This window comes from Homo sapiens, chromosome 18 (assembly GCF_000001405.40).
Source record: "Homo sapiens chromosome 18, GRCh38.p14 Primary Assembly".
Lineage (NCBI taxonomy): Eukaryota > Metazoa > Chordata > Mammalia > Primates > Hominidae > Homo > Homo sapiens.
Window position 1 is genome coordinate 24,272,867 of NC_000018.10, and position 24,384 is coordinate 24,297,250.

The following is a 24,384-nucleotide window of genomic DNA, read 5'->3' on the forward strand; positions in this document are numbered from 1 at the left end:
TGGCATCTTTGTTTTCATTGTTATTTTATTGTATTAATTAATTAATTTATTTATTTGGAGACAGAGTCTTGCTCTGTCGCCCAGGCTGGAGTGTAGTGGCACAATCTCAGCTCACTGCAACCTCCACCTCCTGGGTTCAAGTGATTCTCGTGCCCCAGCTTCCTGAGTAGCTGGGATTACAGGCCTGCACCACCAAACCCAGCTAATTTTTTGTATTTTTAGTAGAGACGGGGGTTTTGCTATGTTGGTCATGCTGGTCTCCAACTCCTGGCATCAAGTGATCCACCTGCCCTGGCCTCCCAAAGTGCTGGGATTACAGGCGTGAGCCACCACGCCCAGCCTCATGGCATCTTTGAAAAGTCAGTTCATTTCTTTTACTTTTTTCACTCAGAATAATAACTGTTACTGTACTTGGAAAAATCATGTATGGAAAGAGGAGTCCCTGCTACAGAATCTCTCCCTAGGCCCTGAAAATTAGAGAATGAATTCAGTTTATAAAAGTAGTGCTAGGTAGCAAAACAATGAACAACAAATTACCTTCTTGTTTTAAAAGGCAATCTACATGGCTCCTAAATGTGCCAGGTACTGTACTGAAGCACCTCACATAAAATAGCACATATATGCGCTCAATTTCAGATGTGGAAACAGAATTCCTAAACATATATTCATTTGTTCAAGGTCGAGGTAGCAGAGTTTAGATCCAGATTGGTCTGATCCCAAAGCCTGAATTTTTTCCTTTGTACATTCATTATTCATTCATTCAAATATTTATTCACCATCTACCACATGCCAAGTACCATGCTACAAAAATAACTAAGATACAGTTGCTTCCTTAGGAAGCTCCAGTTTGTGAATATATAATGATACAATATGATAAATGCTATGACAGCCAGGAACTCATGGAGCAGCAGGGACACCTCACCTAGTTTTGAAGGGTGGAGCCTGTATGAGGAAATGGTTACAGTCATCCAACAGAGCAGCCTTGAGAATTTATCTCACAGAACAGCAATGGGGAACTGTATGCTGGAGTCAGGGAAGACAGAATAAAGGGAGATAGGCAACCAAGATATTAAAAAACCAAATTGAACCGGGCACGGTGGCTCACACCTATAATCCCAGCACATTGAGAGGCCGAGGCAGGCAGATCACTTGAGGTCAGGAGTTCTAGACCAGCCTGGCCAACATGGTAAAACCCCGTTTCTACTAAAAATACAAAAATTAGCAGGGTATGGTGGTGTGTGCCTGTAATCCCAGCTACTCAGGAGGCTGAGGCAGGAGAATTGCTGGAACCCAGGAGGCAGAGGTTGCAGTGAGCCAAGACTGTGTCGCTGTACTCTAGCCTGGGCAACAGAGCGAGACTCCTTCACAAAAAAAAAAAAAAAAAAATTGACGGGACTTGATTAAAGATAGGGAGGAAGAAGGAGGATGAACCAAAGCCAGTTCCCATGATCCTGGCCTGAATTACTGAATGGGTGGCAAGTCTATGAGTTGAATGGATAACTCAGTTTGAGACACGTTGGTTTTGAAATGCTTCTGATATAAGCATATGTAAATGTTCAAAAGGCAGCTGGATATATTAGATCAGAACTCAGGAGAAGTCTGAGGTGGAGACATCTGAGTCCTCAGGGAATTCTAGTTAAAAGAATGGGTGACATCATCCAGGGAGAATATGAGGAGTGAGAAGGTCACTCGCAGAAACCTAGGTAATACTAATATTTAATACATAGGCAGATGAAAAAATGCTTTAGAAGGTGGCTGAGGCCAGGCGTGGTGGCTGAAGCCTGTAATCACAGCACTCTGGGAGGCCAAGGCGAGTGTATCACTTCAGTTCAGAAGTTTGAGACCAGCCTGGTTAACACAGTGAAACCCCATCTCTACTAAAATACAAAAAAATTAGCTGGGTGTGGTGGCGTGCACTTGTAATCCCAGCTACTCAGGAGGGTGAGGCAGGAGAATCGCTTGAACCCGGGAGGCTGAGGTTGCAGTGAGCCAAGATGGCACCACTGCACTCCAGCCTGGGCAACAGAGTAAGACTCCATCTCAAAATTAAAAAAAAAAAAGAAGGTGACTGAGGGGGAGCTGCTACAAAGGAAGGAGAAGCCAAAAGAGGCGGCACTGTGGAAGCCACAGCGCAATTCCAAAAAACAGGAAGTAGTCACATGCCAGGCCCTTCAGAGGACAAGCAAGACAATTTTTAAATGTCCTTTGATTTAGCAATAAGGAAATACTGGCAAGAACAGTTTCGGTGGACTTGCTGAAAATTAAGAAGTAGAAACAGAAAGTATCACATTTTCAAAAATGGAATTGGAAAAGGATGCAGGGAGATAGACAAAAGCTATAAATAAGGGGGTAGAGAATTCCAAAGACAGGAGCTATTTTTTGAAGCAAGGTCCCCAGAGAAGCAGAATGGAAGGAGACAGATGCCTCCAGCAAAAGGCTAGAGGAAAGTATAAGAGCAGATGCAGATAAAAACTGGAGTGAAGAGTGGTAGGGAGTGGAGCCATATACAGTGACTACCTCATGTTTAACAAAGGAATTCTGCTCAGAGTGGAAGGAGATCTGAGGGGACTACAGAGACAGAAGGCCAGAGACGGGTGCAGGCCCAAAAGAGCTGTGAAGAACATTAGGGAACAAAAGATATCAGGGTCACAAAATGACTACAGGACTGCCCGACAGCAAAGGAAATGAAATGAATGGAAGAGATCATGACTTTGTAGAGCTGTAAGTCCACATGAACACATGATCTCTCTTCAAAGATACCAGTGTCCAGTCCAAAGAAGCAGTACAGAATTCCAACCCTTCAGACGGTTCCAATGTAGGGTCTGAATCTTTCCATTATACCACAAAATTAGTCCCACTCTCTTTTTTTTTTTTTTTCTTGAGACGGAGTCTCACTCCGTTGCTCAGGCTGGAGGGCAAGGGTGCAATCTCGCTTACTGCAATCTCTGCCTCCTGGGTTCAAGCGATTCTCCTGCCTCAGCCTCCCGAGTAGCTGGGATTACAAGTGCCTGCCACCACGCCTGGCTAATTTTTTGTATTTTTAGTAGAGACGAGGTTTCACCATGTTGGACAGATTGGTCTCAAACTCCTAACCTCAGGTGATCCACCACCTCAGCCTCCCAAAGTGCTGGGATTACAGGCATGAGCCACCGTGCCTGTATGACATTCCAGTCATACAGTTGGGTCACAGCTTTTCAGCAGTCAGGAGATTTAACATGAAATATGTATAAAACACTTGATAAGTGAGCTTCTACTGACTTTAAATGGGCAGTTCTTACCTTGGAAAAATTGGTATGACTAACATCAAGGAAGCTCGATAGTACACAAAATGAGGAGGGCATCCTCTGGCAAGGAAAACTACAGAAACAAATATAATTCCAGAAACCAGTTTCTGGCATTTTGAATGGAACTCTCAGACCAGGCTAAGAAAAGACCCAGCACTCACATTCTGTTATACTGTTTCCAAGAAAACTACCCTAAAAACAGCATCTAGGTTTTTCTTCAGTAGATCAACCACCAACTTTACAAAGTATTTTATATATTGCCATTTTCTCAACAGCATAAGCAGTTTTTTTGTTTGTTTTTTGTTTTTTTGAGACAGAGCTCTTGTTTCCCAAGCTGGAGTGCCAATGGCCTGATCTCGGCTCACTGCAACCTCCGCCTCCTGGGTTCAATGGATTATCCTGCCTCACTCAGCCTCTCGAGTAGCTGGGATTACAGGCATGTGCCACCACACCTGGCTAATTTTTTGTATTTTTAGTAGAAATGGGGTTTCACCATGTTAGCCAGGCTGGTCTCGAACTCCTGACCTCAGGTGATCCACCCCCCACCCACCCTCAGCCTCCCAAAGTGCTGGGATTACAGGCATGAGCCATAGGCCATAGCAGTTTTATTTACAAATAAAATCTTCCTACAATAATGCCTCATTTATTTATAGCTCCTATGAAAACCTCGATTATGTAGATCATATCAGTACATCCTCAAATAAGCAAAAAACACCCACATACCACAGAAATAGAAGGCATGAAAGCCTGCACACACTGTAAACCCCCAAGATTCTCATAGAGAGCCAGTTTACTCTGACTGGACATAATTTTATGGAGTTTGGTTATCTAGTTTTCTTTTTAATAAACAGGAGATTAGAAAGAGTAAATCAGAGGCATCAGTATTCCACTGCTAGAGGCAGGTACACAGTTAATTTGAAAAATCAAGAGAGGTAATTTTTAAAAACCTATAAAGAGCAAACAAGAGTCCAGAAAGCATTGGCAGGACCAGGCCATTTGGTAGAAAAACACAGACTCACATAAACATTATCCCCTGAGGGCATCTCTGTATTAAGGCACAGAATAATTATTGACATACAAAAGGCCAATCTTGAGACACCTAGAAAACATAAAATTATGGTCTGACAAGGGCTTGTAAAAAAAAAAGAAAAGAAATAAACATAAAATTAAGTTTTAAAGTTTTAGGTTAAGAAGTAAATGTGGAACATTTAGAATAACTGCCATCAAAAAAGACTAGAATAAAAACAGCGTTGCTGCTGTGGGGGCTGGGGTCACTTACATCTACTGGATCCCTGTTTCGTGCCAGTCCCTACAGAGGTGTTTTACCAATATGATCGCATTTACTCTTTAAAACAATCCCTTTTGGGTGGTCACCATTTTAAATAGGAGATTGTATTTTAAAACTGAGTCAAAGAGAGCAAATAGCAGAGCTAGGAATTAGAGCCAGGTCTGTAGGTCTTCAAAGCTTTATGCCTGCTCTTTTAATAAAATTTCCAGATAATAGACATGTAATTTATAATGCCAGATAAAAAAGGTATTACAGCACATAATTACACCACTCTGACCTCGATTACGCTGTTAAATTCCTATGTTGTAATCCTTATGCATTTGAAAGACTAACTTTAGAAATGCCACTTACCTTTCAAATATTTTGCAGTGCCTTCTCACTGTTTATCTTATTGTTGAGAAGGAAATCTATGGATTCTAAGTGTTTCATGGAGTTGATAATTTCATATAATTACTCAGAAGATACCTTCAATACATTCCAAAAGTTTGAAACATTAAATGCTAGTTACTAAACAGAATACTGTGTTCCACGCAGTATGCTAACATACTCTATATATGTAACATTCATCTACATATAGTTGATGCCCACACCCAACTCTGAGGTGTTTATTTTCATTTTACAGAAACTTGTCCCACAGTTGGAGAAAAGTTAGAGAAAGACTGAGATTAAAAACGGGTCCACCAGACTTTCAGACCAGTGCTTCTAAAAGCTTGCTATATGGTTTCCCTTATTCAAAAGATGAAGACAACAAGGTTCAGAGAAGTGAAGTAGCCTTGTCATTTAAACAACAAGAATGGAAACACAACACGATCATTCCAATGATAGTGGTCAAATAAAAGTTCTTTAGACAATGCTACTTCCTCCCAAAACAAAATAAATCCACTGTTACACACATAAAAGCTCCAAGATACTATCAGAAAAGAGAGGCTACAAATGTTAATTAGTTAAGATCTTACAATAACTGTTAACTTTTATTCAGGGCTTACTATGTGTCTGGTACTATGCTAAGTATTTTGCTTACATTATCTTATTTAATCCTCATGATAAATTTAAGAGGCTAAAAGAGGTCAATTAGCCTAAACTTTAGGCTAACACTCTTGCACATCTAAATAACCTAAAGAATTAGGTTATTTTTTAAGCAGATAGTTTAAAAATTAGAATAGGTTGATTGCTTCAGAAATTAAACATGAACCAACATAACACGTTACTTCCAATCTAATGTTCAGCCTTAAAACCATATATCTCTGGAACAAGAAAGCTATCGATACATCCATCAGGTACCACATAAGAGACATGAGTGAAATGCGGTTTTACAAGGTACTAAATATTTCATGAATCCTATGACATCATATTTTATTAATTTCAAAGATATTCTGAATGCAATCATCCTGTTCAGATTTATTTAGAACACTAAATCATCTGTTATTTAAATAAACTTACACATGAAATTTGCAAACCACCAAAAATAGAAGTGCTGAGGAGGGATATTTTCAAACAGTATTAAAAAATCAACCATTTGAAATGTTTAATGAACAATTATGTTTTCCTGTGATAGTTAATATAATTCTATTAAAAGACTTTTGGTAAGTTTGTTTTAAATGATTTTTATTTCCATATTTGTCTTATTCTCCAAATAAATTAATATGTAGAATTGGTGCTACATATAGCAAACACAGCATTTAAAAATGTGTATATGCTCGCCATGGAGGCTCGTGCCTGTAATCCCAGCACTTTGGGAGGCCGAGTCGGGCAGATGGCTTGCATCTAGGAGTTCAGGACCAACCTGGGCAACATACAAAGGCCCATTTCTTTAAAAAAAAAAAAAAAAAAAAAATCAAAAATTAGCTGGGCATCATGGTGCATGCCAGTAGTCCCAGCTACTTGTGAGGCTGAGGTGGGAGGATCACTTGAGCCCAGGAGGCTGAGGCTGCAGTGAGCCATGACTGCGCTACTGTACTCCAGCCTGGGCAACAGAGTGAGACCCTGTCTCAAAAAAAAAATTGTATATGAATTCATAAGGATCCCTTTCTAGTCATGAGAAAATAAATTGTTAGATTTTTACGTATTAGAGGAAAATATATAAAAGCAATTTCATCTATCTTCTTTTACCAAAACCTAATCTCTAACCAAAAGGTACAAGTAAACTAAAACAAGAATAAGAAATTTGGTATCTTAATCTAAAATATTGAAGATTAGACATATATATATAAATTAACAAAATGGAAAAGAAAGCCTAGTGACCTTGACTTACATTGAAATCATAAAAATTAGGGGAAAAACAGCAAAACAAGAAAAATCCTAATTCTGGCAACCAAAACACATCTTTGTAACTTTTCAATCCTTTGAAAATGAATCACTGATAGCTCAGCATACCACTCTTACTCATATTTGGTTTGCTTTTCTTTTCTTTTCTTTTTTGGAAACAGGGTCTCGCTCTGTCACTCAGGCTGGAGTACAGTAGTGCAATCTTGGCTCACTGCAGCCTCTGCCTCCCGGGTTCAAGTGATTCTCTGGCTGATTTTTTTTTGAGACAGAGTCTACTCCATCACCCAGGCTGGAGTGCAGTGGTGCAATATCGGCTTACTGCAACCTCTGCCTCCCAGGCTCAAGTGATTCTCTTGCCTCAGCCTCCCAAGTAGCTGGATTGCAGGTGTGCGCCACCACGCCTGGCTAATTTTTGTATTTTTAGTAGAGATGGGGTTTCATCATGTTGGCCAGACTGGTCTCGAACTCCTGACCTCAAGTGATTGCCCACCTTAGCCTCCCAAAGCGCTGGGATTATAGGCGTGAGCCACCACGCCTGGCCTAATTTTTGTATTTTTTGGTAGAGACGGGGTTTCAGCATGTTGGACAGGCTGGTTTCGAACTCCTGACTTCAGGTGATCTGCCCGCCTCAGCCTCCCAAAATGCTGGAATTACAGGCATGATCCACCATGCTCAGCCCTTACTCATATTTAGAAAAGCAAATGGCAAACTGTTGAAGGGTAAGAGAGTGAGGGGAAAGAACACAAAAAATATTTAATCCATTGGGCTTAGTTTACATAGATAAGTATGATAGTACTCTATTTTCTAAATAAAAGTATTTTTAATGTAAAGACCTTCTGTTTCTAGAATATTTTCACATCTCTCTTATTGAAGTGTCATAACAATCCTGAGTAGATCAATTTTAAGTATACTTATTAAATATGGCTACATCAACAAATTCAAAAGATATGAACACAAGTTATTTCATCCTGCTTAATCAATAATAAATAAGTTCTAAATTTTTGTGACAAATGAAGCTTTCCTTTGTTAATACTAATTTTTTCCTACCTTTGAACAATTTGAAAGCAATGACTTCATGGACAACCACGCATGCAACATCCAAACAATTATTTTACAAATTCAATTCTGAACTACCTACCCCTTCTTGTTTGGTGAAGAGATTAAGGCAATCAGTCAAAGCTACACAAGTTTCTCTAGAAGCTTCTGAGACAACTTCAACTTTCTGAAGAAATGATGGAAGCATTTCTATAAAGAAAAAAATAAATACAGTGAGTCGGATTTTAAGGAATCTTAAGGTAAACTAAGACCACAAAAATACTCTCATATCTATTAACCTCATCTTTCCATCTAGCTATCTTAAGCAAAACATATCATGTTTCTTTTCTTTTTTTTTGTTTTCTTGAGACGGAGTCTGCTCTGTTGCCTAGGCTGGAGTGCAGTGGTGCAATCTTGGCTCACTGCAACCTCTGCTTCCCAGATTCAAGCAATTCTTCTGCCTCAGCCTCCCAAGTAGCTGGGACTACAGGCGCACACCACCACGCCCAGCTAATTTTTGTATTTTTAGTAGAGACGGGGATTCACCATATTGGCCAGGCTGGCCTCAAACTCCTGACCTCATGATCTGCCCACCTTGGCCTCCCAAAGTGCTGGGATTACAGGCGTGAGTCACCGCGCCCGGCTTTTTTTTTTTATTTTTTATTTTGAGACACAGTCTCACTCTGTGGCCCAGGCTGGAGTGCAGTGGAGTAATCTCGGCTTATTGTAACCTTCACCTCCCGGGTTCAAGAGATTTTCCTGCCTCAGCCTCCCGAGTAGATGGGACTACAGGCACACGCTATCATGCCTGGCTAATTTTTTTTGTATTTTCAGTAGAGATGGGGTTTCACAACGTTGGCCAGGCTGGTCTCAAACTCCTGACCTCAGGTGATCCGCCCACCTCGGCCTTGCAAAGTGCTGGGATTACAGGCGTGAGCCACTGCACCCAGCCTCATGTTTCTTGGGCATCATTATTTAAGCACACGCTTTATTTAGGGCACATAAATTGGTACAGAAAAAGAAAGAATGGAGCCTTCTCCTAGAAAGGTCTATACCCTACAACAGGAGTCCCCAGACCCGGGCTGCAGACTGGTACTGGTCTGTGGTCCTGTTAGGAACCTGGCCACACAGCAAGAGGTGAGTGGAGGGTGAGTGAGCATTACCACCTGAGCTCTGCCTTGTGTCAGATCAGTGGCAGCATTAGATTCTCACGAGAGCACGAACCCTATTGCGAACTGTGTATATGAGGGATTTAGGTTGCGGGCTCCTTATGAGAATCTAATGCCTGATGATCTGAGGTAGAACAGTTTGAGCCTGAAACCATCTCCCCACCCCCCACTCCCAACCCTACCCCCGAGTCCATGGAAAAACTGTCTTCCACAAAACCAGTCCCTGGTGCCAAAAAAGTTGGGGAGCACTGCCCTACAAGAATCACCAAGACAAAAAAAAAAGTTTACAGGAATTAAACAACAGGGTAATGTTTAAGAAAAACAGCTGACAAGAAGGACTGATAGCACTCCTTATAAAACATTAAAATTTCCTTTGTAGATAAGTAATTTTATTCAAAAGCAAGTAATAAAAAAAATTATTCTGTAGTTATCATGGTGGCTAACATATCTGAAAACAGCATTAACTCTACTTCCTATTTGGACCACTGTTTGGCATAAGTAGGTCTTTTCACTCTCAAAAATGTGTTCCTATGAAGGTCCAGTACCATTGAGTATATGTTTAAGTTGGCAATAAAGAAATGGTAGTATCAGTATCTGCCCTGGTCCTCTAAAGAAAATCTTAACCCATTTACTCATTAAAAATAAAAAACAAAAACAAAAACAAAATATTGACAAGAGGAAGGTGCAAAGTGCATATATATCACTTAAAAACAAGTAAAATATTATGTCCAGATTAATGCAAAAGAAATGCACTTAGTTGAAATGGTTTCTGATATTTTGTTAATTAGACGTTAAGATCCTTTAAATCTGTCCCTTCCATCAAATAAAAATCTTAACATTTAAGAAGTCTTTTCATCAAAAAATAACTAAAAGGTCGGGACAGAACAAGATTTGTTAAAAGACACAAGATTACAGCTAGGGCGAGGCATGGTGGCTTATGTGTGTAATCCTCGCACTTTGAGAGGCCAAGGTAAAAGGATCACTTGAGGCCAGGAGTTCAAGACCAGCCTGAGCAAAAAAGCAAGACTTCATCTCTACAAAAAATTTAAAAATTAGCTGGGCATGGTGGTGTGCACCTGTAGTCTCAGCTACTTGGGAGGCTGAGGCAGGAGGACTGCTTGAGCCCAGGAGTTCAAGTTTTCTATACTACTGTTCAAGACCAGTATGGCCAACATGGTGAAACCCCATCTCTACTAAAAATACAAAAATTAGCTGGGCATGGTGGCTGGCGCCTGTAATCCCAGCTACTCGGGAGACTGAGGCAGGAGAATCACTTCAACCTGGGACGTGGAGGTTGCAGTAAGCGGAGATGGCACCACAGCACTCCAGCCTGGGAGACAGAGCAAGACTCCATCTCAAAAAAAAAAAAAAAAAATATATATATATATATATATATGTATATATATACACACACACACAGACACACACACACACACATATGGATATGAAGGCCAAATTATATTTTACCACAGTTTACATCTTACAAAATACATCTTACAGAATAGTTTTCTCTTGTTAGCTTCTTTAATAAAGCCCAACTAATTGAAAACTACCATATTCTAAAACAAATTTGACTTTACAGACTTTATTTTTCATTTTGAACCTCTGATACACATTGTGAAGATTTATTCTCTACTTAGTTGCTAAATAGCAAAAGAGACTACCATATGCTAGGTGCCATATGACTTAAATAGTGCCTGAACAGATGTCTCAACACGAACTGTGGACCGAGGACTGAGGAGATGTACCAGGAGAAACAGACACAGCCTATCCCTTCCATAAATTTTCTGAGTAATCTAGTAATTTTCCACTTTCAGGGCATAAATGGCAGGAAGATAGAAGCATAACCATTCATAGATATAGTTCTTTTATTAATACCATCATAAGCTTAATCATCCTGTTTTTGTCTGTTTTAGATATTTCATAAACTTTAGATACTTGTTACCATGAAGCAACATTAATGGTCCAAATACATGCTTAGGAATACTTACAAGTGTTTGAAAATACTGGTTCTGCAAGGTTTCAAAAAATATTCCAAATATATATATATGTGTGTGTATATATATATATAAAGAAGTTTTCATAAGAATCCACCATTGAGAGAGCGTCGAATTCTTTTGTCCAAAAGAGTCAAATGTTACTTCATTTCTTTGACAAGCTAATGTTAAAACAAGATTTTTGAAATGAACTTCCACAGCGGAACAGTTTAAGAATTGCCGAACCTTGCCGTATGCCACACTGCAGTGTAGCACATCAGGGTCCATTCAACTCACACTGGCATGCTTCTTATAGAATTATGTTTACATAATGTTACATAAAAAAAAAATTAAAATTGCTAAGCTTCTAGAAAAGTGACCAACTGGGAATCACTGCAAATACGTTTTAGCTGGTTAATATTTAGAGACTAAACTGTCATGAATAAACGCAAAAAGGCCAGTATGTTGCCTTATTTGGCCTGCTGTAAGAATCTGATGCTGTTGATTTTCAGGAAAAAAGTTATTTTTCGTACTAAAAACGTTTTTAAAGTCATGAAAGCTGTGAGAAGATCATATTGGAAAAGCTTAACTTTAGAGACATAAAAAGCTCACAATCTGTCATTTTTCATGATTACGCTGAACAATTTTTAATTGGGTAAGTTTTTAAAATAGTGGGAAAACACTTGTTTCTTTATGTGAACAAATTAATCCCTTGTACAGACAACCTCCACTGTTATCCTAGTGTAAAAAAAAAAAAGTCCACATTTCCTTAGCCTAACATTTAAGATGCTCAATAAACTAAATTTGTTTCAGCCAGATTGTTCTCCTGGAAATGTTTGTTTACCTAAAAACAGTCTTCAAAATATTGGTGAATATTGGATGTTGAATGCTGAATATTGACATGTTACTTGAATATTGGAAACAATAATTATCCATATTCAGAAGTTTCCCTACTTGACAAAAAAAACTATTTTCTTTCAAGGCCTAGTTCAAATGCCATCCTCCCCCAGGAAGCCTTCCTTAAATATCACTGTGGAGAATGGGTGCAGTGGCTCATGCCTGTAATGCCAACACTTTGGGAGGCCAAGGCAGGAGGATCACTTGAGTTCAAGGTTGCAATGAGCTATGACCACACCACTGCACTTCAGCCTGTGCGACAGAGAAAGACCCTGTCTCTAAAAACAACAACGACGACAAAATATCACCATGGGACATGACAGCAGCTGCTCCTGGACTCCAACAGCGGCCACACCCACTTGTTATAGGGGCATGAGGCATTGAATGTATGTTGTCTCTCTGTGACCCTCTGTAAACTCTAAACCTCCTTACCCCCATCCAAACACCAAGCTTTGCCAAAATAAAACCTCTCAAATATTTATTAAATGAATAAGGAAACTAATAAAATATCTTATTCCACATCTTGCTACCATAATTCTTTTAATATAAAATATAATCTGAATCCAAATGGCTTCACTTATTATATTTTACCTTAAAAGAATTATGGTCCTTTAGTTTAAAAATGTGAAATGAAAACTTTTTCATTTATATTACTATAGGTTGGTTGATTAGGGCAGATTGAGAAATAAGTAATTTTTAACTACATTTTGTTTTTTACTTGTGGCACAAGAAAATATATTTTGCCTGTTTTTCAACATTTAACTGAAATATTTCCATCATTTGGGACAAGTATTTAAAAGAAAAAAACTGGATGAAGGCATTTTATTTCCCCATCCTTACCCTTCTGGTAATGGTGCTACCTTGAATATGTATGTGGCTTTTTTTAATAATTAAACACAAACAGGAGAGAGACTAAATAGTCCAAAAACTACAAAATCTAGTGACAAAGCTAAAGATCAGAGAAAATACAGAAAATAACAAAATGGGATGATTTATCTTTTGTGGTGTAAAAAAATGCAATACATAATGACTATATACATGAAAGACCTGATCTAACCTAAATGATTGAAGTCCATTTTAAAATGGACTTTCAAGGCTGGGCGCGGTGGTTGATACCTGTAATCCCAGCACTTTGGGAGGCCGAGGCGTGCAGATCACCTGAGGTCAGGAATTCGAGACCAGCCTGGCTAACATGGTGAAACCCCATCTCCACTACAAATACAAAAATTAGCCGGCCATCATGGCGTGTGCCTGTAATCCCAGCTACCCAGGAGGCTGAGGCAAGAGAATCACTTGAACCCAGGAGGCAGAGGCTGCAGTGAGCCAAGATCGCGCCACTGCACTCCAGCCTGGGTGACAGAGCAAGACTCTGTCTCAAAAAATAAATAAACAAAATGGACTTTCATATCAGATTGGAATTATATAAATGCTTCAATGAAAATCAGTACTCTCTTTTCAAAACAGGGAAAAAATGTTTGCACATAAAAATCAACTAACCTTCTAAAAACTACTCCATAAAACTATAACTTGAAAAATATCAAAAGAGGTCATGCTGAAAGACATAAAAATAGAAATCTATTTTTTGTTCAAATTAAAATGACTACCTTGAATACAATCATCCACTGAAGAAGTACCTCTGACCATTTAATCTATATATCTACATCTATATAATTTATATTCATTGCACTGGAGGATATAAAATATATAGCTCAAAGTGGCATGTATTAAATGAATAATAAAAAGATAATATCAGGGATGTTGTGAGACATAACTAGCAAGTTGTGCATACTTTTAAAAAATATTAAAATTTCAGAGAAGAGCATTGTCATTATGGACTAGAATAATCCATAGTTTGATGAAAAGATGTTGCACTTGAGTTGGATCTTAAAGAACAAGGAACATTTTTGTATTGCTAAATATAAACCCAATAAGCACTTCTAAAATAGAGTGCCAAATATACTAGTCCTGAGGGAAGATAGTTTCAGAATTATGATCAATGAGAACTCTAGCAAGGTGAGAGGTTTTCATCTGCCAGTTATGGAGTGGCAGCCACGTGGCAGGCACCAGCTAAGTGCTGGAGAAAAAGGGGTAAGTTGGACAGACAGTCTTTGTTTTTACAGAGCTTGCTGTCTAGCAAGGAAAATGGAAAATAAAACAATTACTATTGAAAGAATAATACTGATCAAAGGGAGACTTTAGAAGAGTAAGAGGAGAAGGATATTATTATTTGGAAAAAATAAAATGAATTACATTTAAAAATTTAGAAAAGAGTACAAGTCACAAAGACCTGGAGTCAAACAAAACAGGAGAGAAGCCAGCAGAACTACAGAATGTGTTTTGTACTCTCTTGCAAAAGAGAATGAAGTGAGGCAATAAGGAAGTTAATTTTAATCAAACTGAGGAAATCTTCATCAAAGGGTATAACTGGGTTTGCATCACTTCTGATTGAATTGTCCAATGGGTTCCCCACCTTATGGTAAGTCCTTATGAGAAAAACGGAGTCAATGAAGTAAATGGTAACTAGGGTTGAGCCACATATGATCTAGAAAGGGCCACCTATGGCCAAGGTCAAGAGAGGAGTCTTGGAAAGGTCTGTGCCACAAAGAATAAGGTGCAGAACTGGATGACATAAGAGAGTTTATCCATTCTGAGTGCTTGAGAGAGCTTCAGGGTATGATGCTTGCCTGTCTTCTAGACTTTGGCAGAAGTAGGCCAGGCATGGTGGCTCACACCTGCAATCCCAGCACTTTGGGAGGCCAAGGCAGGCAGATCACCTGAGATCAGGAGTTCCAGACCAACCTGGCCAACATGGTGAAACCCTGTCTCTACTAAAAATACAAAAATTAGCTGGGCGAGGTGGTACTTGCCTGTAATCCCAGCTACCCGGGAGGCTGAGGCAGGAGAATCGCTTGAACCAGGAGGCAGAGGTTGTAGTGAGCCGAGATCGTGCCACTGCACTCCAGCCTGGGCAACAGAGAGAGACTCTGTCTCAAAAATAAAATAAAATAAAATAAAATAAAATAAAATAAAATAAAATAGACTTTGGCAGAAGTAAAAGTGAGCAATAAATCACGTAGTCTCATAGCCACACTGTCTCACCTATTGGATTCTTCAACCTTGCTGCCTGAAAGAAAGCTTGGACCAAAGACAGAAGCTCACTCTCCAGTGCCCTGTACGACAGGCCTGAATAGGGGCAACTGTTGTGGCCTGTACCTTTGCTTGCTCTTTCTGTCCCTTCTAACACCTGAGGAGGCTGGGCCTGCCCAGAGAGAGAAATGGAAACAGGAAGCATTACATTAAAGAGTGGCTAGTGCTATGGTAGACAAAGTGCAGGGTGATCTGAAAACACATAAGAACATAGTCTTAGAGAAGTCAAGGAGGAGTTTCTGGAAACTACATGTAAAAGATGAGAAAAAGCGATTTCATACCTTGGAAACAACATACGCTAAGACCCAAATGCATGAGAAAAGGTCACTGTTGCTGCACAGAGTGTAGAAGGAAGGAAGGAATAGTTAAGAGAGGAAGCAGCTGAAGTGAGTAGACACACAGGTCATAAAGTCAGTCAACTTAGAGTTTAGATTATACCCTAAGGCACTGAATGCTTCTGTTAAGGCTGTGACCATTCCAATTGGTGTTTCAGAAGCATCTAACTATTCTGTGGAATATTCCATGGAGGTAAATGAAGGAATATAAGAGTGGAGGCAGGACTGGGTGCAGTGGCTCACGCCTGTAATCCCAGCACTTTGGGAGGCCAAGGCAGGCAGATCACCTGAGGTCAGAAGTTCGAGACTAGCCTGGCCAACATGGTGAAACCCTGTCTCTACTAAAAATACAAAAATTAGCTGGGCATGGTGGCACACGCCTGTAATCCCAGCTACTTGGGAAGCTGGGGCAGGAGAATCACTTAAACCTGGAAGGCGGAGGTTGCAGTGAGCCGAGATCGGCCATTGCACTCCAGCCTGGGTGACAGAGCAAGACTGTCTCAAAAAAAAAAAAAAAAATTGTGGAGGCAGTGTGTCCAGCCAAGAAGTTGTGGTAATCAATGGGAAAGATGGCTATGGCCTATTTTAGCATAATGGTAGGGGGACATAGGAAGAGAAACAAAGTAAAGTGATATTAAGAGACAGGACTATCTATAGCCTGAACACACCCAATCTCAGCTAATCTCGGAAGCTAAGCAGAGTCAAGCCTGGTTAGTACTTGAATGGGAGAACTGATCAACAAAATATATTTGGAGAAAGAGGAAGAACAATGACTCCAAAGTTTGGTCTTGGGAAATTGAGTGAATTGATGATGTATTTTTAGGGATGAAGAACAGAAAGAATGAGGACAAGAAAAGAGAAGGAAAAGAACAACAGCAAAAAAGGGGGATTTCTTTTTTGTGGAAAGGAAACTCCTGCTCTACATCAATCCCCCTCTACCCTTGAACTTCTGAGTAGAAGACAATGAAGATTTAAACACTATCTTAACTACAACAGCCAAGCTAATGTAATTGTCCTCAACAAATTCTACCTTACATTGTAGATCTGGTTATAAATCTGAAAAACTTCTCCTGTTCCTCCTATTCCTAGATCAAATGTTCAGGGGTCAACACTGAATTTTTGATATTCATTCCAGACTGTTTATTGTTTTTTCCTGTTTTTTTTTTTTTTTTTTTTTGAGATGGAGTTGGGCTCTGTCACCCAGGCTGCAATGCAATGGCATGATCTTGGCTCACTGTAACCCCCACCTCCCGGGTTCAAGCAATTCTCCTGCCTCAGGATCGAGTAGCTGGGATTACAGGCACACGCCACAACATTCGGCTAATTTTTGTATTTTTTAGTAGAGACAGGGTTTCGCCATGTTGGGCAGGCTGGTCTCGAACTCCTGACCTCAGGTGATCTGCCGCCTCAGCCTCCCAAAGTGCTCGGATTACAGGCATGAGCCACCATGCCAGCCTGTTTATTGGTTAAGAACACACCCTGGAGCCAGGCTGCCCAGGGCCAAATGCTAACTCTGGTTTTTACAAGCTCTGTGACCTTAAGTAAGTTATATAGGCTCCCTGTGCCTCAGTCAACTTACCTGTAAAATGGAAAGAATAGTTGTATATACTGCATAGGGCTGTTACCAGGCACAAATAAGTTAATATAGATGCTCCGCAACTTACAGTATGGTTATATCCCAATAAACCCATCATAAACTGAAAATGTCACTTTCACACTATTGTAAAGTTGAAAAATCATAAGTTGAACCATTGTAAGTTAGGGACTATCTATACGTCAAATACACAGGACAATGTACAAAAAAAGGCTATATGTGTTTGCTTTATACTAGATAATATAAATTGTAGAGTATTGACATGTTTTATATTAGAAAGAGCATGGGACACTGGTGGTACCTAGCAGACTAGGCTGATGGGACCATCTCTCCAATCACAATCCATAAAGACACCGAATAAAACAGTAAAATAATGTAGTGCAGAGTTTGAAAGAATAAAATCCCAGATATGCTAGAAAGAAAGAAACAAACAAAAGGCAAGGCTGATGCAACAGGCCTAACCAGTGATGCCTGGTAGGAAGGTCAAGGATAGAGGTGGGTGTCAGACAGAACATACATCCAGAAGATTAACAGATGAGCCTGGCCAGGCATAGTGGCTCACGCCTGTAATCCCAGCACTTTGGGAGGCTGAGGCAGGTGGATTGCCTGAGCTCAGGAGTTCAAAACCAGCCTGGGCGACACGATAAAACCCTGTCTTTACTAAAAATACAAAAGTATTACCCAGACGTGGCAGTGTGTGCTTGTAGTCCCAGCTAATTGGGAGGCTGAGACAGGAGAATCGCTTGAACCCGGCAGGCGGAGGTTGCAGTGAGCTGAGATGGTGCCACTGCACTCCAGCCTGGGCAACAGAGCGAGGCTCTGTCTCCAAAAAATAAATAAATAATAAATAAATAAAACAAAACACAACAACAACAACAAAATAGATGAGGCTTTACAGCTACATGAATGGAGGTATGTGGCTTTGGCCTCCCAAATCAAGTGGGTAAGGTCTAGTAAAGGGGCAGACCCCTAGTGACAGTGGGAGTAGAAAACTGCCCTTGTGCTCAGGGATGCAGGGAAGAAGGACACTTTCTTGCCTAAGCTCTGGGTGGGAAACCTGAGAAACTGAAGCCCCTAGCTTGTAGCATGCCTAGATATGAAATCCAAATTTAAAACTAGTAGCCCAGAAGCAGAGAAACCTTTACAGCCTCAACAGCGACACACACAAAACTACTCTATATGGACACCTCCAAACCCAAGAAGCAGGAAAAACAAAAACAAAATAAAACACAACAAACAAAAAAACCCACAAGCTCTACTGAAGATGAGCTGTCCATAAAGTTACAATCCATTGTGATGGACATTCAGCAGAAGAAACAAAAGACTTAGCTGTGCAACAACTTGAGGTATAAAAACATTCTGAAAAAAATGCTTTAAATTCATATGTCTGAAGTTATTAGAGATAAAATTAGAAATGCATGTAATATAAAAGAACATGTCACTATGGGGAAAAATAACAAATTTTTAAAACCACCAACTAAAATTTCTAGAATTATAAAATACAGTCACTAAGATTAGAAAGTAGAAAGTCAAAAGATTAAGCAGAAAAACTGACTAAATTGAGAAAGAAACTAAAGCTAGAAAATAGAACTAAGAAAAGTACTCAGAATGCAACAGAAAGAAATGGAATAAGAAATGAGGTAGGAGGATAGAACGAGAAGGCTCAACATATGTCTATTAAGAGTTCTGGCAGGAGAGAATATAAAGAATGATGAAGTAAAATTGGAAGAGATAATAGCTAAGAACTTTTCTAACTTAAAGAAAGATAATAAATGAGTCCTTGAATTAAAGAACAGAGTTTCAAGCAAGCTATAGAACAACAAAATCCAAACCCAGAGACAGAATAAAACTGCAGAATACCAAAAACAAAGTGAAAAATCTTTGCAGTAACAAAAGGGGACTTGGGGGACAGGGAAAAAAAAAAACGAGAGATTGCCTGTAATTCCAGCACTTTGGGAGACTGAGGCAGGTGGATCACCTGAGGTCAGGAGTTCGAGACCAGCCTGGCCAATGTGGTGAAACCCTGTCTCTACTAAAAAATAAAAAATTAAAATAAATTAAAATAAAATTTAAAAAATTAGCCAGGCATGGTGGCAGGTGCACCTGTAATCCCAGCTACTCAGGAGGCTGAGGCAGGAGAATCACTTGAACCTGGGAGGCAGAGGTTGCAGTGAGCCAAGATTGCGCCACTGTACTCCAGCCTGAGCAACAGCAAAACTCTGTCTCAAAAAGAAAAAAGAAAATATCAGAAGTCAGAATAAATTGCAATTGCATCTTCAAAATGCTAGTGGAAGATAACTATAACCCAGTGAGGGTGAAATAAAGATTTAGATAAGGTAGAAATTCTTCTACTCACAGACCCCCAATGAAAGAATTACTCAAAGATTTGCCTCAGAAAATAAAACAGAATTCAGGGGAGAGGAGTAGGATATAAAAATCAGTGGCATTAACTGTGGAAACCCTCTTGGCAAAAGAATGCAAAATATGCCACAGTTCTGATGGTTTCTTCCCTATTTCATGTCTCTAAAAGGTCTCTTTGACTTGTACACTCGTTAAATTTACTAACTTGACAGAAATTTATTGTTTCTCCCTGAGTTTGAGAGATATAAGGTATAAATTTAAGCTAGATAAGTAGGTCATTCATTTCACTCACTCATTCATCACACACAGAGAGAAAGAGAGACGGCGAGAGAGAGGAGAGAGAGACCCCCATCACATGCCAAGTTCTGTTGAGGTACCAAAGATAATCGGCAAACAGGTAAAAATCCCTGCCCTGAAGTTTATACCACGGTGGGAAAGGCAGACAATCAACTACACACACTCATAGGAAGTCTGATAAGTAACAAAAGAGAAACTGCAGTAAGGTAGAGGGGTAACAAGTGCTGAGGGGAGGTGAACTTCACAGAGGATGAGGTACCAGCTAAGGGTCTCAGCAGGGAAGAGCTGGCCTGCTCAAAGGTAACTGAGGTCTGGGCACAGTGGCTCACGCCTGTAATCCCAGCACTTTGGGAGGCTGAAGTGGGTGGATCACTTGAGGTCAGGAGTTCAAGGCCAGCCTGCCCAAAAGGGAGAAACTCCGTCTCTACTAAAAATATAAAAATTAGCCGGGTGTGGTGGCTCGCGCCTGTGGTCCCAGCTACTCAGGAGGCTGAGGCAGGAGTATCGCTTGAACCTGGGGGCGGAGGTTGCAGTGAGCCAAGATCGCACCACTGCCTCTAGCCCAGGCGACAGAGAGGGACTCCCGTCTCAAAAAAAAAAAAAAAAAAAAAAAAGAAAAGAAAAGAAAAAATTAAAACGTTAACTGAGAAGAATTTGAAAAAGAGATTGCTCACAAAGGTGAGGAGGGTTGAAGTAACAGAGACTGGCGTGCGGGACACAGTTACCATCCTGGCACAGAGGGGGAAAGGGGAGAGGACAGTATTGCTAAGCCCAGCAAGAGCTGGAGTCTAGATCAGGCCAGTGGCCAGGCAGAGGAACCCGGCAGCACTGCGGAACCACAGTCCGGCTGGAGAGAATGAAGGTAAAGCCCTGAAACGACTTCCTCTCCCGTCCCTCCGCAGGTCTCCCGACAGAGCCTCCCATTTGCTGAATCCAATCACAAGTCCGAGGGCCAAGAAGCCCCAGGGCTGAGGCTGCAGTACACAAAGCAGGGCAGAGCAGACGAGGAGGAGCAAACCAGCGCAGGAGGCCAGGAAAATCCTCTGTGTGCAGGCACCTTTTGAAGAAAGACCTAGGGAAGGAAGGGAGTGACTACGCCACTCAGGAGAAAAGCCTTCCAGAAGAGGGAACAGCACACGAAAGGCCACTGGCAGGCGTAGGCCAGGCCAATGAGGCTGGAGAGGAGCCAGAAAGGGAACTGGGAGGTGGGGGGCTGAGGGGTGGAAGGGGCTGGAAGGCTCTGCAGGTCATTAGAATGACTCTGTCTCTCACTCCAAGTGAGAAGATCTGGAAGCCACTGGATGTTTCCAGCAAAGGACCTCAATCCACTGACATTTTGGGAGGATTTGGGGCAGAAGCTGTAGGGGGAAGGGTGAAATCTGGGGACAGCAAGTAGGTTTTCAGATGTCCACGTGGGAGGCAATGGTGGCTTGGACCAGGTGGCAACAGAGAAAGTGGTAAGTTTGTTTACTCAAAGCCCAGATTTTGAGGAAACAGTTTTAAGTAGGCTAAATAGAAGTGCTTTTCCTCTCAGATTTTTTTTTTCAGTTTTATTTTCTTGAGTTCGACTATTTTGCTTTTATATTTCAATAGTTTTGGGGGAATAGGTGGTGTTTGGTTACATGCATAAGTTCCTTAGTGAAGAAGTCTAAGATTTTAGTGCACCCATCACCTGAGCAGTGTACACTACATCCAATATGTGGTTGTTTTTTTTTTTGGTGGTGGTGTTGTTATTGAGATGGAGTCTTGCTCTGTTGCCCAGGCTGGAGTGCAGTGGCGCGATCTCGGCTCACTGCAACCTCCTCCTCCTGGGTTCAAGCGATTCTTCTGTCTCAGCCTCCTGAGTAGCGGGGATTACAGGTACCCGCCACCAGGCCCAGCTAATTTTTGTATTTTTTTAGTAGAGACGAGGTTTCACCATGTTGGCCAGGCTGGTCTCGAACTCCTGACCTCAGGTGATCCGCCCGACTCAGCCTCCCAAAGTGCTGGGATTACAGGCGTGAGCCACTGTGCCCGGTCCAATATGTAGATTTTAATTTCTCCCCCAGACTCTTTCCTTCCCAGTCCATAAAGACCATATCACTCTAAGTCTCTGCATCCTCAAAGCTTAGCTCCCACTTATAAATGAGAACAAATGGTTTTTGGTTTTTCCATTCCTGAGTTTCTAAGTATTCCATTCACTTAGAATAATGGCCTCCAGCTCCATCCAAGTTGCTGCAGAAGACATTATTTCATTCCTTTTTGTGGCTGAGTAGTATTCCATGTTGTATAAATACCACGTTATTTATCCATTCATTGGTTGATGGGCACTTAGGTTGGTCCCACATCTTTTGCAATTGTGAATTGTGCTGCTGTGAACATGGATGTGCATGTGTCTTTTTCATATAATGACTTCTTTTCCTTTGGGTAGATACCAGTAGTGGGACTGTTGGATCAAATAGTAGATCTACTTTTAGTTCTTTAGGGAATCTCCATACTGTTCTCCATAGAGGTTGTACTAATTTACATTCCCACCAGCAGTGTGAAAGTGTTCCCTTTTCACCACATCCACACCAACATCTATTGTTTTCTGACTTTTTCATTATGGCCATTCTTGTAGGAGTAAGATGGTATCTCCTTGTGGTTTGGATTTCCATTTCCATGATGATTAGTGCTGTTGAGCATTTTTTTATATGTTTGTTGGTCAACTGTATATCTTCTTTTGAGAAACATCTATTCATGTCTTTTGCCCACTTTTTGATGGGATTATTTGTATTTTTCTTGCTGATTTGTTTGAGTGCCTTGCAGATTTCAGATACTAGTCCTTTGTTGGATGCATAGTTTGCATATTTTCTCCCATTCTCTGGTTGTCTATTTATTCTGCTGATTATTTCTTTTTCTGTGCAGAAGCTTTTTAGTTTAATTAGGTTCCATTTATTTATTTTTGTTGTACTTGCTGTTGGGGTCTTAGTCATGAATTTTTGCCTAGGCCAATGTCCAGAAGAGTTTTTCCAATATTATCTTCTAGAATTGTTAGGCTTTCTGGTCTTAGAATTAAGTCTTTGATCCATCTTGAGTTGATTTTTATATAAGGCAGAGATGGGGATCCAGTTTCATTCTTATACATGTGGCTTGCCAATTATCCCAGCACATAGACTGGGGAAAGGATAGCCTATTTTGGGGAAAAGCTATATAAACTGAATAGGCTGTCCTTTCCCCAATTTATGTTTTTTTCAAATATATAAATTGAATAGGCCGTCCTTTCCCCAATTTATGTTTTTGTATGCTTTGTCAAAGATCAGTTGGCTGTATAATATTTGGTTTTATTTCTGGGTTCTCTATTCTGTTTCACTGGTCTAAGAGCCTTTTTTTTTTTCTCCATAACAGTAACCATGATGTTTTTGGTAACTAGAGCTCTGCAGTATAATTTAAAGTCCAATAATGTGATACCTCCAGATTTGTTCTTTTTTCTTAGTATTACTTTGGCTATTCAGGTTCTTATGGGATTCCATATGAGTTTTAAGATTTTTTTTCTAGTTCTGTGAAAAATTGTGATGGTATTTTGATGGGAATTGCATTGCATCTGTAAATTGCTTTGGGCAGTATGGTCATTTTCACAATATTGATTCTTCCCATCCATGAGCATGAGATATGTTTCCATTTATTTGTGTCATCTATGATTTCTTTCAGCAGTGTTTTGTAGTTTTCCTTGTAGAGAGCTTTCACCTCCTTGGCTAAGCACATTCCTACATATTTTATTTTTTTGCAACTGTTGTAAAAGGGATTGACTTCTTGATTTGATTCTCAGCTTGGTCGCTGTTGCTGTACAGCTGTGCTACTGATTTGTATACATTGATTTTGTAACCTGAGACTTTATTGAATTTGTTTATGAGATCTAGGAGTCTTTTGGATGAGTCTTTAGGATTTTCTAGGTGCGTGATCATATCACTGGCAAACAACACTAGTTTGACTTCCTCTTTTCCACATAGATGCCCTTTATTTCTTTCTCTTAACTGACTGCTCTGGCTAGGACTTCCAGTACTACGTTGAATAGGAAGTGGTAAAAGTGGGCATCCTTTTCTTATTTCAGTTCTTAGAGGGAATGCTTTCAATTTTTCCCTATTCAGTATGATGTTGGCTATGGGTTTGTCATATATGGCTTTTATTATTTTGAGGTAAGTCCCTTCTATGCCTAGTTTATTAAGAGTTTTTAACATAAAGGGATGCTGGATTTTATCAAATGCTTTTTCTGCATCTACTGAGATGATCACATGGTTTTTACTTTTAATTGTTTGTGATATATCATATTTATTGACTTGCATATATTAAAGCATCCCTGCATCCCTGGAACAAAACCCACCTGATCATGGTGTATTATCTTTCTGATATGCTGTTGGATTCAATTAGCTAGTATTTTTTTGAGGATTTTTGCACCTATGTTCATCAGGGATATTGGTCTGTAGTTTTCCTTGTTCGTTGTGTCCTTCTCTGGTTTTGGTATTAGGGTGATACTGGCTTCATAAAATGATTTAGGGAGGATTCCTTCTTTCTCTTTCTTTTGGAATAGTTTCAGTAGGATTGTTACCAATTCTTTGAATTCCAGTAGAATTCAGCTGTGAATACATCTGGTCATGGGCTTTTTTTGTTGGCAATTTTTAAATTACTGATTCAATCTAACTGCTTATTACTGGTCTGCTCAGGGTTTCTGTTTTTTCCTGGCTTAATCTGGGAGGATTGTGTTTCCAAGAATTTATCTA

At 40.1% G+C, this 24,384-nt stretch overlaps 1 protein-coding gene across 3 annotated transcripts in view, besides 1 other annotated feature; it reads right to left on the bottom strand.

The window, feature by feature from the left end:
• Positions 1–24,384, bottom strand: part of OSBPL1A (oxysterol binding protein like 1A) — a 235,780-nt gene that overhangs the window by 110,822 nt on the left and 100,574 nt on the right. For all 3 annotated transcript variants that reach the window (XM_017025530.2, NM_001242508.1, NM_080597.4), the window contains one exon: positions 7,976–8,082. In XM_017025530.2, the coding sequence (XP_016881019.1) occupies positions 7,976–8,082 (107 nt within the window). The remainder of the gene's footprint in view (positions 1–7,975; positions 8,083–24,384) is intronic.
• Positions 1,273–1,486: a silencer, noted in NCBI's record as "fragment chr18:21854103-21854316 (GRCh37/hg19 assembly coordinates)". NCBI's record gives its function as "represses an EF-1alpha promoter that drives an FKBP-Casp9 reporter gene in an ReSE screen in K562 erythroleukemia cells {active_cell/tissue: K562}" and the evidence as "EXISTENCE:reporter gene assay evidence [ECO:0000049][PMID:32094911]".